This window comes from Homo sapiens, chromosome 2 (assembly GCF_000001405.40).
Source record: "Homo sapiens chromosome 2, GRCh38.p14 Primary Assembly".
Classification (NCBI taxonomy): domain Eukaryota; kingdom Metazoa; phylum Chordata; class Mammalia; order Primates; family Hominidae; genus Homo; species Homo sapiens.
Genome location: NC_000002.12, coordinates 74309656 through 74323799, shown reverse-complemented (window position 1 = coordinate 74323799; position 14144 = coordinate 74309656). Strand labels below are relative to the sequence as shown.

Sequence of the window (14144 nt, the reverse complement as noted above, 5' to 3'; positions counted from 1 at the left end):
TCCTCCCAATGTAGAATATCATCACCATTTTTAGTTCATTCAAAAATCAGTGTTTATACTCATGATTACATGCCATGATCACATTTTATTCCTTGCAGAGTTTTAATTTTTCCCTGGTATTTCTCATTGCTGTCTTTTTTCTTTGCATTTTCTGTCACTTTCTTGAGTTGTTCTAAAATCCCCAAGAGTGTATCAAATCTTTTACATTTCATTTTTTCCCTGAGTGGCTCGTTCCAAAGCCTCATTTTCTAGCTCTTTTGAGGACTGATTGATTTTTGAGGACACAGCTGTCATCTGGGGACTGCTCTTCATTATTCTGATTTTATCCACTCTCTCCTGCATCTCATTGTCTTCTCCTTCTTGATTAATGATGGGTAACTTTTTTAAAGAACTTCCTAGGAAGTTATGAAAGAGAAGTAAAATGATTTTTTACATGTCTGGAAATGTCTTCTACCCCTACTCTGGACTGGTAGTTTGGCTGGGTGGAGAATGTTAGGTTGGAAACATTCTCCCTTGGATTTTGGGTGGCTTTGCTCATTATCTTCTCTCTCTCTTTTTTTTGAGACAGAGTCTCACTCTGTCACCTAGGTGGAATGCAGTGGCACAATCTCAGCTCACTGCAACCTCCACCTCCTGGGTTCAAATGATTGTCGTGTCTCAGCCTCCCAAGTAGCTGGGATTACAAGCATGTGCCACCACACCCGGCTAAGTTTTGTATTTTTAATAAGAGACGGGGATTCACCATGTTGGCCAGGCTGGTCTTGAACTCCTGACCTCAGGTGATCCACCCGCCTTAGCCTCCCAAAGTGCTGGGATTACAGGTGTGAGACACCGCACCCTGCCCATTATCTTCTCTTATTTAACTTGCTGAGGAGGAGTCTTCTGCTAGTCTGATTTCTATTCATTGACAGGTGACCTGTTTCTGATTGTTTTACTCTAGAAGTTTTTGGGATCTTTCTTTTCTTCATAGTCACTGTTCTAAAATTTCATAATGATCTAGCAAAGTGTGAGGAGTTTTTTTCCCAGATATTTTCTGTGCAGAGTGCTCAGTTGACCCATTTTGCCTGAGACTATTATCTCATAGTGTTGGGGAGACCTCTTAGTTATTTTTAAAAATACTTTTAAAAATTTAATAATAAAATACCTCAAATGTGTACAATATGACAAATATTGATATATTACTGTCCAGAATTAACAGATGTTAACATTTTATCATATTCGTTTCATATCTACATGTATATCTATCATCTATCCAAAATACCAAAGATCATCAAGCATCATTAACCTTATCCTTCCCCAGAAGTAACCTGAAGTTGGTGTGTATCATTCCTCTACATAATTTTATGATTTTATTACTTATAAATGTAACTATAATCAATATTGGTAGTGTTTTGTTTGTTTTAAAGTTTTATGTAAATAATATCATTTTCTTTTACAACTTCCTTTTGTTCTCATTATGTTTTTGAGATTTATACATGTTAATACATAAAAATCTAGTTCATTAATTTCAACTGTCCATAGTCATCCATTATGTGTCAGTTAGGAAGGCCTCAGCTAAAAGTAACATAAAACTTGGCTAGCAGTTTAAATATAGAGATTTTTTTTTTTTTTCAGATAACAGGAAATCCAGCAATAAGCAGTCCAGAGCTCAGTGATATTCTCAGGAACCCAGATTTGTCTTATCCTTCTGCCTTGTTCTTAGCCTGTGCCTTTGGTCTTCATACCTGTCACCTCATTGTTGCAAGATGGCTGCTTTATCTCAAAGTCTCAAGGTCCGTGCAAGAAAGCAGGAGGGTAAAGGACAAACTGTGCATTCCAACTGTGTCACTTTCAATTAGGAAAATAAAAGCTTTCCTGAAAGTCTTACCCAATGGACTTCCACCTAAATCTCATTGGCTAGAATAGGGTCACATGACTATTCCTAAACTCAGTGACTGGCTAAGGGCAACCAGAATACCGTGAATGGTTTATATAGATCCCAGCTCATGCCTGAGCCTAGGGAAGGTGACTACTGGCAATCAAGGGCCCTGTGTCTCTACCTGAACAAAATAAAGTTTTGTAAATAGGCAAGCAGAAGAGGGAATGGTTGTTGGACAGTGTAGGAGACATGCTAGATGACTACCCAATGCGCATTCTCCCTTTTTCCCTTACTGACAGACTCAATATTATTTTCCCAGTAAAAACTTACTTTCCCAGAGTCCTTTGTCAGATGACCCAGGTGTGGTTTTCAGTAACCACATCTGGGTCACCTTTGTCAACACATAATTTTTAGTAGAAGTATATCCCAAATATTGTGCTGAACATATACTCAAAGTTATTTGTTGTTATCTGAAATTCAAATTTAACTGGGCAAACTGTAGTTTCATTTGCTAAACCTGGCAACTCTATCCAGGAAGGAAGAAGAAGGAAAAGTGAAGAGGCTTTCTTCTGAAAATGCTTTATCTAGGAAGGGACTCCTTCCTCAGGTTCTTTCTCCTGTAGCTCTTCAGCCAGAGAGAGCTGAAGGGTGTCTGAGGGAAGTGTTTCTTTTTAGTTGGCCATAGTGCTACTGTGGCTGGAGCAGAAGTCAGAAAGTCAGAGCAGAAAGGGGAATGGGCATCAGGGAAGTAACTAGCAGCATCCTCCACAGGTGTTTTATACTCCCCAAATAGTTACATCCAGTGGTGATATTCAAAATATTTAACAACCAACATGGCACTGACATTGACCAACCCAAATGAATACCTGATCACTAAAAATGGACACCAATCATAAATAGCAGCCATACCAATGCGTATCGGTGGAATATCAACCCTGTTTCTATTGCTGTTTTCAGGAAAATTAACACTCACTTGATTTATTATGACTGTGTAAATATTGCTCACAGTTGAGTATAGTGTACCATGATTACTTTTCCTTTCTATGACTATTCTTGACAAAGTTTTTGTATCCTCTTGCAACAGTCAAACACATCAAGACCATTTTTCAGATCCAGGTTTTTTTCCTGAAGACATCCTGTCCAGAGCCTGCTCTAAGATGTGCCTGTTGCTCTCTGGACTGCTGCAGGGTTCTTCTCCGGTGACTTTCCTTTGCCTATCTTTTGTGGTGAATCCCGTTTCCCAGACTTAATTTCTTTCTTAGTGCAAGTCCTTCATCTTGCTAGAGTTCCTCCTTCAGTCACTTCCTGAAAAAAAGGTGCATCGAAGGTAAATTTTTGAGATAGTTTATGTCTGAAAATGCCCCTATTCTACCCTCCCACTTGATTGATAGCTTGATTGGGACTGGAATTCTAGGTTGGAAATAATTTTGTCTCACTTTTGGAAGCATGACTTCATTGTCTTGTAGCTTCCACTGTAGTGATTGAGAAATCTGATATCAATTCTTGTTTCAGATTCTTGGTAGATGACTTATTTTTTTCTGGAAGCTTTTAAGATTTCTTTATCCATGAAGTCCTAATGCTTCATAATGATGTGACTTGGAGTGGATTTTTTAAAAATTAATTTTTTCTGAGCTGATCGAAAGTTCTTTCAATCAGAAAATTCTTCCAGATCTTTCAGTTCTGGAAGGTATTCTCATGTTATTTCATTGGTAATTTTCTCTCCACTATTTTTTTATCTCTCTTTTGGGAACTCCTATTATTTTGATGTTTGGGCCTCCTGGATTGATCCTCTGGTTTTCTTGTTTTGTCATAGTATTTGTTTAATCTCTTTTTATTTGTGTTCTATTATCTGATATACTCCTTCAAATTTATGTTCCAAGTCTTTTATTGAAAATTTTCTTCTAAGGTATTTTTAATTTCGAAAAGTTCTGTCTTATTCTTTAAAAACTTATAGGTTCATAGGTTTATAGCATTCTGCTTTTCTTGTCGTCATGAATACAATGTCTTTTCTTGTCTCTGTTGTGATTTCCTCTAATTTGGTCTTGAGAGCTGTCTCTGGAGAGTAGCCAGAAACCAAGATAGCCACTTTCTAGGAGAGCTCTAACCAGGAGGAGAGTAAGGTTTAGATGGTCAGGTGAGACCAAATGAAACCAAAATGCATAAAACAGAAGAAATTTATTATTTACAGATCTCAAAGAGGTTAGGGGTGGCTGATGGGAAGTCAAGACGCAGTAGGATGTTCAATCAGTGAATGGGGAGAGAGAGAGAGAGAAAAAGAGAGAGAATGCACTATATTGCAAACAATCATATAGGGAGGGGAAGTTTTAACTAGGCCAAAGGAGTACAACTAATTGGGTTTCAAACAACTTATGTCAGGCCAAAAACTGGATGCCAAGAAAGCAACTATATTAAACAAACCTATGACAATCTCCTTGAAGATATTAACTATCTTTGTTTTTGTCTTTGTTTTGTAATCTTTGTACAGGGGTCATGCTTATCTTTTATTATTCCAGTTTTAGTATATGTGCTACTAAAGCGAGCACCAGCTACATAGTTTTTTAAAGAACCTAAATGTTTTAAAATATATATTTAGGGAGTACAAATTCAGGTTTCTTACATGCATATATTTCATTGTGGTGAAGTTTGAGTTTAGTGTACTCATCACCCGAATAGTGAACAGTGTAGCAATAGGTCACTTTTCAACCCTCACCCCCTTCCTACCCTCCTACCTTTTGGAGTCTCCAGTGTCTGTTATTTCACTCTACATGTCCATGTGTACGAATTGTTAGCTCCCACTTATAAGTGAGAACATACAGAATTTGTCTTTCTGTTTCTGAGTTATTTCACTGAGGGTAATGGCCTCCAGTTTCATCCATGTTGATGCAAAAGACATGATTTCATTTTCTATGACTGATTAGCATTCCATTATATATATATAATGTAATGTATATATTACATTTCCTTATCCAATCCTCCATTGATTACACTTAGGTTGATTCCATATCTTTGCTATTGTGAATAGTGCTGCAATAAACATACAAGTGCTGGTATCTTTTTTAATATAATGATTCTTTTCCTTTGGGCATATACCAGCAGTGGGATTGCTGAATCAAATGGTAGTTTTATTTTTAGTTCTTTGAGAATCCTCCATACTGTTTTCCATAAAGGTTGTACTAATTTACATTCCCACCGACAGTGCATGTTTTCTCTGCGGCCTCGCCAACATCTGTTATTTTTGGACACTTTTTTTTTTTTTTGTGAGACAGAGTCTCACTCTGTCGCCCAGGCTGGAGTGCAGTGGCACAATCTCGGTCTGCAACCTCTGCCTTCTGGGTTCAAGTGATTCTTGTGCCTCAGCCTCCTGAGTATCTGGGATTACAGGCATGCACCACCACACCTGGCTAATTTTTGTATTTTTAGTAGATACGGGGTTTCACCATGTTAGCCAAGCTGGTCTTGAACTCCTGACCTCAGGCCATCCCCCCCACCTCTGCCTCCCAAAGTGCTGGGATTACAGGCATGAGCCACCTCGCCAGGCCTAGACTTTTTAATAATAGCCATTCTGGCTGGTGTAAGATGGTATCTCATTGTGGTTTTAATTTGCATTTCTCTGATGATTAGCAATATTGAGCATTTTTTACATGTTTGTTGGCCATTTATGTGTCTTCTTTTGTCAAATATCTGTTCATGTCCTTTGCCCACTTTTTAATGGGGTTATTTGTTTTTTTCTTTTTGAGTTGTTTGAATTCCTCACAGATTCTAGATATTAGCTCTTTGTCACATGCGCAGTGTGCAATATTTTTTTTTCATTCTGTAGGTTGTCTGTTTACTTTGTTCATTGTTTATTTTGCTGTGTAGAAGCTTTTTAGTTTAATTAAGTGCCATTTGTCTATTTTTGCTTTTGTGACATTTGCTACTACATAGTTTTAATGGTTTCTTTGGCTGCCTACATTGCTCCTGTTTCCTTGGACTTTTTCTTTTCCTGTTTGTTTTGGTATCTGTCATTCTGGTGATTCTTGGCTGGCTGTTCATGTTTTGAAGTGGAGCTGCCAAACAGCTGCCATGTGGCCAGGCTGGACTTGTTGAATGATAGACTTACAGTGGGCAATTGGATGCAGCCCTTGCCATTTTGTCAGAGGTCCCCAAAATGTTGGAATCTGGAAGTTCTCCAATGTCCTGCCTGGAGGGCCTAAACTTCATTAGGGTTCTAGGAGTCCAGCAGGCAAAGGGCTGAGGGGCTAACTGCATTTACTTAACTCCTTTTTGTTTCCCCAGTGAAATTACTCCTTTTTGCCCTCAGCTGTCCAGGGATCTTCTGTCCTGGCTTTAGTCTCCTACAGGGCCCCTCCATATTCTGAGTAGAAAGGGCATTATAGGAGACTAGAGCCTAGAGGAGAGACCTGAGGATTTAACCTCAGAACTCCTTATGAAGATTTTCCACCATCTCCCCTGTGTTCAGCCCGCTCTGCATCATGGTCTTGAGATATCCCTATTGCCTCTGATGTCCTATTTCTATCTTTGAGAAACATTTTGTATATGTAGAGGCTGTCTAATCCTTGAAGGTTCAGATAAAACATTTAAAAAAAAAACTATCTGTTCCTGGTGTTTATTTTTCTTTGCATTATAGAAAAATTTTCAAACACAACAAAAGTAAAATAAATGATGATGACCCTGTTAACTTAAAGATCACATGATCTATGCATTTGGAGAGAAGACTTTATTTCTTGTAAAGGGTTACAGCCTGCAAGGTGGCCATGTTACAGGATGGGAACCATAGCCTCAGGGTTAGATCAGAGACAGGCACTTCGAAGGAGGAGGGGAAAGGCAGGAATTTAAGTTGACTGGGTTGGCTAAACATGCATATTCAGTAGGTTACAGGAGGATCTATGAATATTCATGAAGGTGGTCCTGATGCATGTGTATTGAACAAACATGCATATTACGCATGCCCATGTTCACCTTGGGATGGAGCCATAACATTTAAATGTATTACATTAGGCATTATACGTTAGAAGGTCTTTGTAGGACACAAATGCGTTCAAGTGCACAGCCTCTGTAAACTGACCAGAACCAGTCCATGGTTCATGATCTTCTTATCAGGAGGGAGTTACTAAAGTCAGTCTTTTGTCCAATCAAAGCTATAGTTATGGCTTATGGAGCAGGGGGTTGGTTAGTCAGCATCTGCTGGTAGATGTGCTGCAAATTGTTCTAATATTGCTTGTCTCAAGGCCAGTGCTTGCTTAGCTGCTAGAGGAAAAGAAAAACCGTGTGGCAGTTAGGACACAGTTTATTCTTCAAGTGTAGGCGTGTATAACTTAACCCTTGCCTGGCCTGGCTTTAGGTCTTGTTTACAGTTTGGTACCTTATTGCCATAAAGGGTCTGTTCTGTCAGTCTTATTCTCAATTTTAACATAAATGCTGGTCAGTTATGTCTACACTGCAAAAGGGAGATGATATAACCAGGTGTGTCTGACCTCCTATCCTGTCTTGGCCAGGATTTTGGTTTTTAATGTATCTCTGGGATCCCCTTGGCCAAGAGGGAGTCTGTTCAGTTGGTGGGGAGGCTTAGGATTTTATTTTTAGTTTACAACTCTTTTTTTTTTTTTTTTTTTTTTTTTTTACAACTCTTTTGTAGCATAACCTAGCTTCAATAATTATCAATACATGACTGATTGTGGTGTCTTTCCTACAATCATTTTAATTGTTATTGGTTAATTTAGGTTTTCTAATTTTTTTAAAAGTCAATTTTGATACTTCTATTGTTTTTGTAGAGAAGTATCCATGTATTAGCCTTGTGGCTGAGGGCTATAGTTCCAGAAACAGATTGTCCAGATTTGTTTTTCCATGTGGGTAGTCATTTAAGCTCTCTGTGTCTGGGTTTCCTCATTTGTAAAATGGGAATAATAATGTTATTTATGTCATAGGATTGTTGATAAGATTCAATTAAATCATACATGCAAAGCACTTCTGGCACATAGCAATGTTAACTATTCTTATTATTTAAGTTTTAAAATTAATTGGCATGAATTTTTTAATGGAATTATAATTTTTAAATTCTCAACTATATTTTATGTCCCTTTTTCAGTCCTAGTGTTGTTTACTTAAAAACAAAAGCATAGATTGCTTTTGTTTTTTCTTTTTCGTAGAGATAGAGTCTCACTCTGTCACCCAGGCTGTAATGCAGTGGCACAATCATTATGGCTCACTGCAGCCTCAAACTTCTGGGCTTGTATGATTCTCCCGCCTCAGCCTCCCAAGTAGCTTAGCACTACAGCACACCATCACACCTGGCGCATATATATATGCATAATATATTACTTTTATATATATTATTATATAAGCATAATAAATTTACTTTTCAGAGGCTTTTCTGTGACGTAGTATATGTGCTCTCTTTGTAAATGTGTCATTTGTACTTGAAAAAGAAGTGTGTTCTCTGCTTGTTGGAAATTATTCTTCAATTTGTTTATATGTCCTTTTTTTTTTTTTTTTTTCTTTTCGTAAGACAGAGTCTTGCTCTGTTCCCCCGGCTGGTATGCAGTGGTGCAATCTCAGCTCATTGCAACCTCCACCTCCCGGGTTCAAGAGATTCTCTTGCCTCAGCCTTCCTAGCAGCTGGGATTATAGGTGAATGCCACCACATCTGGCTAATTTTTGTATTTTTATTAGAGATGCAGTTTCACTGTATTGGCCAGGCTGGTCTCGAACTCCTGACCTCAGGTGATCCACCCGCCTCAGCCTCCCAAAGTGCTGGGATTACAGGTGTGAGCCACTGCACCCAGTTATATGTCCTTTTGTCTTAGTTTTTTATCTGTATTAAAATCTCCCATTATGACTGTGGATTTGACCATTTCTCCTTGAAATCCTACCCTTTTTAATGTATACATTTTGAGGCTGTGTTCCTTTTACTTTATAGTCATGAAGGTGAAGGAGGAGAAGGCTGGGGTAGGAAAGCTGGACCACACTAACCACAGGAGGAGATTTCCGGATCAGAAAGGTGAGGTCACTTTGAGGACTTGATGCAAATCTCAGGAGGCACTGAGAATTCTCTGAATGTCTTTATGACAGCTCTTTCAGCAGGAGAGTCTAGGGAGCAGGTCCCTTTTCCTGACTCATCCACAGTGTCTCCTTGAGGCTGGTGGGACCAGCCTTCATGGTATCCCCAGGTGACTGCATGGTCAAGCTGGAGACAGGAAACTGCCACTTTGCCTATGTGGATTAGAATATAGCTTCCCCAACACAAAATGTAACTCACCTAATTTTACAAGATCTGCAAACCATAATAAATGCCAAATATCAACATTTTATATTAATAGATTCCCAAACTGACAGCACAATTAAAACCAGTGCAAGAGGATGTTGAGGTGGCAGGTATTTCTGTTGCTCCAGAATTGCTGACTTTAGCTGCCCAAAGCCTCCTACACACTACAGAGAAGAAGCCATGGGGCTTATGAAAAGGCAATCAGATGGGCGGCTACTGCCATCGTTACCCCAGCCCCACTTGAAGGAAAATACCAACCTCGCTGCCCACCTAGAGGCTCGGTGAGCTGCAGAATGTGTAGAGCCACTCTGGAGCTGTCAAGCAAGAAAAATGCCCTAAAGAGTTGCTAGGAGAACTTGGCACATGTCCTGAGCCAAACTGCAAGATACTTACCGTGAGAGGAGAGGTCTTGTAGAGCCACAGAGGAGAATGTAGACTTGGGGGAGGGCAAGCCACTCCCCACAGTTCACCAGCTAAATCACCATGCTCTTTTGATTATGATAGAAGCCAAGAAAAGATGGGACAATTTAGATTCAGAACAGAAAGTAAAATAGTTTTTTGACAGCCATCTCCTCTGATTTCTATAATAAATATACTCTTCCTGTGTATAGTCCCTTACAATTTGCATAATCATGTTCTTATACATGATCCCATTCTATCTTTTCAGAAGCCAGTTTGGTAGAGAAAGGATTTTCATTCCCACATTACAGATGAGTTCACCGAGTCCCAGAGAAGCAGGATGGCCACAGATCAAGTAAAGGACAAGCCAGGGAGCACCTAGGGCAGCTGCCTCTTGGGTTGGGGCCTTTCTGATATACCTGCTTCTTTTCATTTCCATTCCTGGCCTCAAGGGTGGAGAATAGGAACTTGCTGTTGGAAGACCCAAATATGCTAAGCCCTTAGAGTGGAACTACTTACCTCTAAGTGCTAGTGTCTACTGCTTATCTCAAATTGCAGCTTGCTTAAACAATGCAGTATAGGGAAGGGAAGTTCCACCATGATGTGGGGAGGTGAGAGGAGGAAGAAGGGAAACTAGTCATTCTGACACCCGTGCCCTAGGAAGTGAGGCCATACTTCATAAGAATCTCCACTTCGTTTTCTTCATCCCTGTTACATCCAGGAGAGAATGGGATCCAGAAGAGCATGCAGTGGGGTGAGCTGGGACTTTAGACAGATTTGGACACTGACATCCAAGTAACCTGACCCCTAGTACCTAGGAATGCACCAACCAGAGTAGACTCATAAAACATCTGTCTAAAGCATATTCAACATCTCTCTAAAGCATATTCAACTTCTCTCTAAAAGGCTTAGACATGCTTCTCCATAGTTCAGCTGAGAAACAGTATAGCGTTATTTGAAAGTGGACATAGATTAGTTCTAACTGTATATTGCAAAGTCTAGGGCAAACACTAGAATTTTTTAAGGGATATAATTTATACACTCAGAGATGAGAGAAAACAGAATCATATAAAGTGCTCAGTTAAAACCAGAGGAGGAGCTGGGCATAGTGGCATGTGCCTATAGTCCAAGCTACCCAGGAGACAGAGGCAGGAGGATTGTTTGAGGCTAGGAGTTTGAGGCCAGCCTGGGCAACACAGCAAGACCCTGTTTCTTAAAAAAAAAAAAAAAAAGACCAAAAAGGGGGAAGATTAAAAAAAAAAAAAGGACAAGTGCCACAAACACAAAATTGTTGTAAACATGGTAGATATTAATTCACTGATCTCAATAATCACTTTATTTATTTATTTAGAGATGAAGTGTTGCTCTGTCACTCAGGCTGGAGTGCAGTGGTGCATCTTAGCTCACTGCAACCTCTGCCTCCCAGGTTCAGGCAATTCTCATGCCTCAGCCTCCCGAGTAGCTGGGACTATAGGTGCCCACCACCACGCTGGTTTATTTTTTATATTTTTAGTAGAGATGAGATTTCGCCATGTTGGCCAAGCTGGTCTTGAACTCCTGGCCTCAAGTGATCCACTCACCTCAGCCTCCCAAAGTGCTGAGATTACAGGCATGAGCCACTGCACCCAGCCAATAATTACTTCAAATATGAATGGTCTAAACATATCAATTAAAAGGCAGAGGATGTTAGGCAGGATCAAAAAACAAGACCCAACTATGTGACAAGAAACCTACATTAAATATAAAGACACAGGCCAGGTGCGATGGCTCACACCTGTAATCCCCATACTTTGGGAGGCTGAGATTGGAAGATCACTTGAGGTCAAGAGTTTGAGACCAGCCTGGCCAACATGGTGAAACCCTGTCTCTACTACAAATACATAAATTAGCCAGGCATGGTGGCATGCACCTGTAATCCCAACTACTCGGGAGGCTGAGTCAGGAAATCAGTTGAACCCAGCAGGTGGAGGCTGCACAGAGCAAGACTCTGTCTCAAAAAAAATGCATATACACACACACACACACACACACACACACATATACACACACACATATAGAGATATAGATAGATAGGTATAGATATAGATACAGATGGATTAGAAGTAAAGGGAGGGAGGAAGATATACCATGATAACACTAATCAAAAGAAAGCAAGAATAGGTATCTTAATTTCAGACAAAGAAGAATTAAGAGCAAAGAACATCTCTTTAACAGGGATAAGGGAGGGCATTGCATCATGATAAAAGGGTCAATTCTTCAGGAAAACATAATAGTCCTTAACATGTATGTACCTAACAGCAGAGCATCAAAATACATGAGGCAAAAAAATGACAAAACTGAAGACGAACAGACAAATCAGTGATTATAGTTGTGGACTTCAATACCCATCTACCAGTAATTGACAGATCCGGCAGGCAGAAAATCAGTAACGATATAGTTGAAAGGAACAGCATATAAATCACCTGGATTTAATTGACATTTATAGAATACTTCGTCCAACAATAGCAGAATGCACATTCTTCTCAAGCTCATGTAGAATATCCACCAAGACAGACCACATTCTGGGACATAAAACACACCTGAACAAATTTAAAGGAACAGAAGTCATGCAGAGTATGCTGTAACACCACATTGGAATTAAACTAAAAATCAATAACAGAAAGATTACTGGAAAATCCCAACATATTTAGAGATTAAACAATACACTTCTAAATAATATATGAGTAGTCAAAGAAGAAGTCTTAAGAAAATTTTAAAAATATTTTGGACTAAATGAAAATGAAAATTCAACTTATCAAAATTTGTGGGATGCAGCAAAAGCAGTGCTTAGAGGAAAATGAATAACATTAAATGCATATATTAGAAAAGAAGAAAGATCTAAAAGCAACAACCTAAGCTCCCATATTAGGAAACAAGAGAAGGAATTGCAAAATAATCCTAAAGCAAGAAGAAAAAAGGGATAATACCAAATAGAGCAGAAATCAGTGAAATTAGAAATAGGAAACAATAGAGAAAATCAATGAAACTGAAGCTATCTCTTAAAAAGATTAATAAAATTGATGAATCTTTAGCCAGGCTAACCAAGGAAAAAAGGGAGAAGACATACATTAATATCAGAAATGAAAGGTGATCATTATTGATTCCATGGACATTAAAAGGATAATAAAGGAATATTATGAGCAACTCTGTGCCTACAAATTTGATAACTTAGGTGAAATGGACTAATTTATTGAAAGACACAAACTACTAAAACTCACACAGGAGAAATAAATAATTTGAACAGGCCTATTACTATTAAAGAAGTAATAGATAATAATAATTAACAACTTACCAAAAAAAAAAAAAGAGCAACAGGCCTTCATGATTTCACTAGTGAATTCTACCAAACATTTAAGGAAGAAAGGATATCAGTTGTCTACAATCTCTTCCAGAAAATAGAAGCAGAAGGAATGCTTTCTAACTAATCCCATGAAGTCAGCATTATCCCAATACAAAATGAGATAAAGGCATGACAAGAAGAAAAACTACACACCAATGTCCCTTATGAATATATATGCAAAAATCCTCAACAAAATGCTAGCAGATCAAATTCAACAATGTGTAAAAATAATTATACACCATGACCCAAAAGGATTTATCCCAGGTATTTAAGGCTGGTTTAGTATTCAAAAGTCAATTAAGATAATTCATCATATCAATAGGCCAAAGGAGAAAAATCACACAATAATGTCAATAGATGCAGAAAAAGCATTTGACAAAATCCAACACCTATTCATAATAAAAACTTGCAGTAAACTAGGAATAGAGGGAAATTTCCTCAACTTGATTTTTAAAAAATCTACAAAAAACCTATAGCTAACATCATACTTAATGATGAGAAACTGAAAACTTTCCTGCTAAGATCAGGAACAAAGCAAAGAGATCCCCTTTCACCAGCCCTTTTCAATATCATACTGGAAATTCTAGCTAATGCAATAAGACAAGGAAAGGAAATAAATGTATATAGTTTGGGAAAGAAGAAATAAAACATCTTTGTTCACAGATGATATAACTGTCTATGCAGAAAATCCCAAAGAATTTACCAAACAACTCCCATAACTAATAAGTGACTGTAACAAGGTCTCAGGATGTAAAGTCTTAGGATACAAAAGACAGTTGCTTTTCTATATACCAGCCATTGGAATTTGAAATTTAAGACATGATACACTAGCACCAAAAATTTTAGACATAAATCTAACAAAATGTATACAGGATCTACATGAGAAAAACTATAAAAGTAATGAAAGAAATCAAAGATCTAAGTAAATGAAAAAATATTTTGGCCAGGCACGGTGGCTCATGCCTGTAATCCCAGCACTTTGGGAGGCCGAGGCAGGCAGATCACGAGGTCAGGAGATGAAGACCATCCTGGCTAACACGGTGAAACCCCGTCTCTACTAAAAAAATACAAAAAAAAAAATTAGCCGGGCGTGGTGGTGGGCACCTGTAGTCCCAGTTACTCAGGACCCTGAGGCAGGAGAATGGCGTGAACCCGGGAGGCAGAGCTTGCAGTGAGCTGAGATGGCGCCACTACACTTCAGCCTGGGTGACAGAGTGAGACTCTGTCTCAAAAAAAAAAAAAAAAAT

General features: G+C 38.7%; 1 protein-coding gene and 1 pseudogene across 2 annotated transcripts in view; one reads left to right on the top strand and one right to left on the bottom strand.

Moving 5' to 3' along the window:
* Positions 1-14144, top strand: part of SLC4A5 (solute carrier family 4 member 5) — a 127175-nt gene that overhangs the window by 19617 nt on the left and 93414 nt on the right. For both annotated transcript variants that reach the window (NM_133478.3, NM_021196.3), the window contains one exon: positions 8775-8855. In NM_133478.3, the coding sequence (NP_597812.1) occupies positions 8777-8855 (79 nt within the window). In that variant the 5' untranslated portion in view covers positions 8775-8776. Of the gene's footprint in view, positions 1-8774; positions 8856-14144 lie in introns of those variants that run through there.
* RNU6-542P (RNA, U6 small nuclear 542, pseudogene) lies at positions 4299-4401 on the bottom strand (annotated as a pseudogene).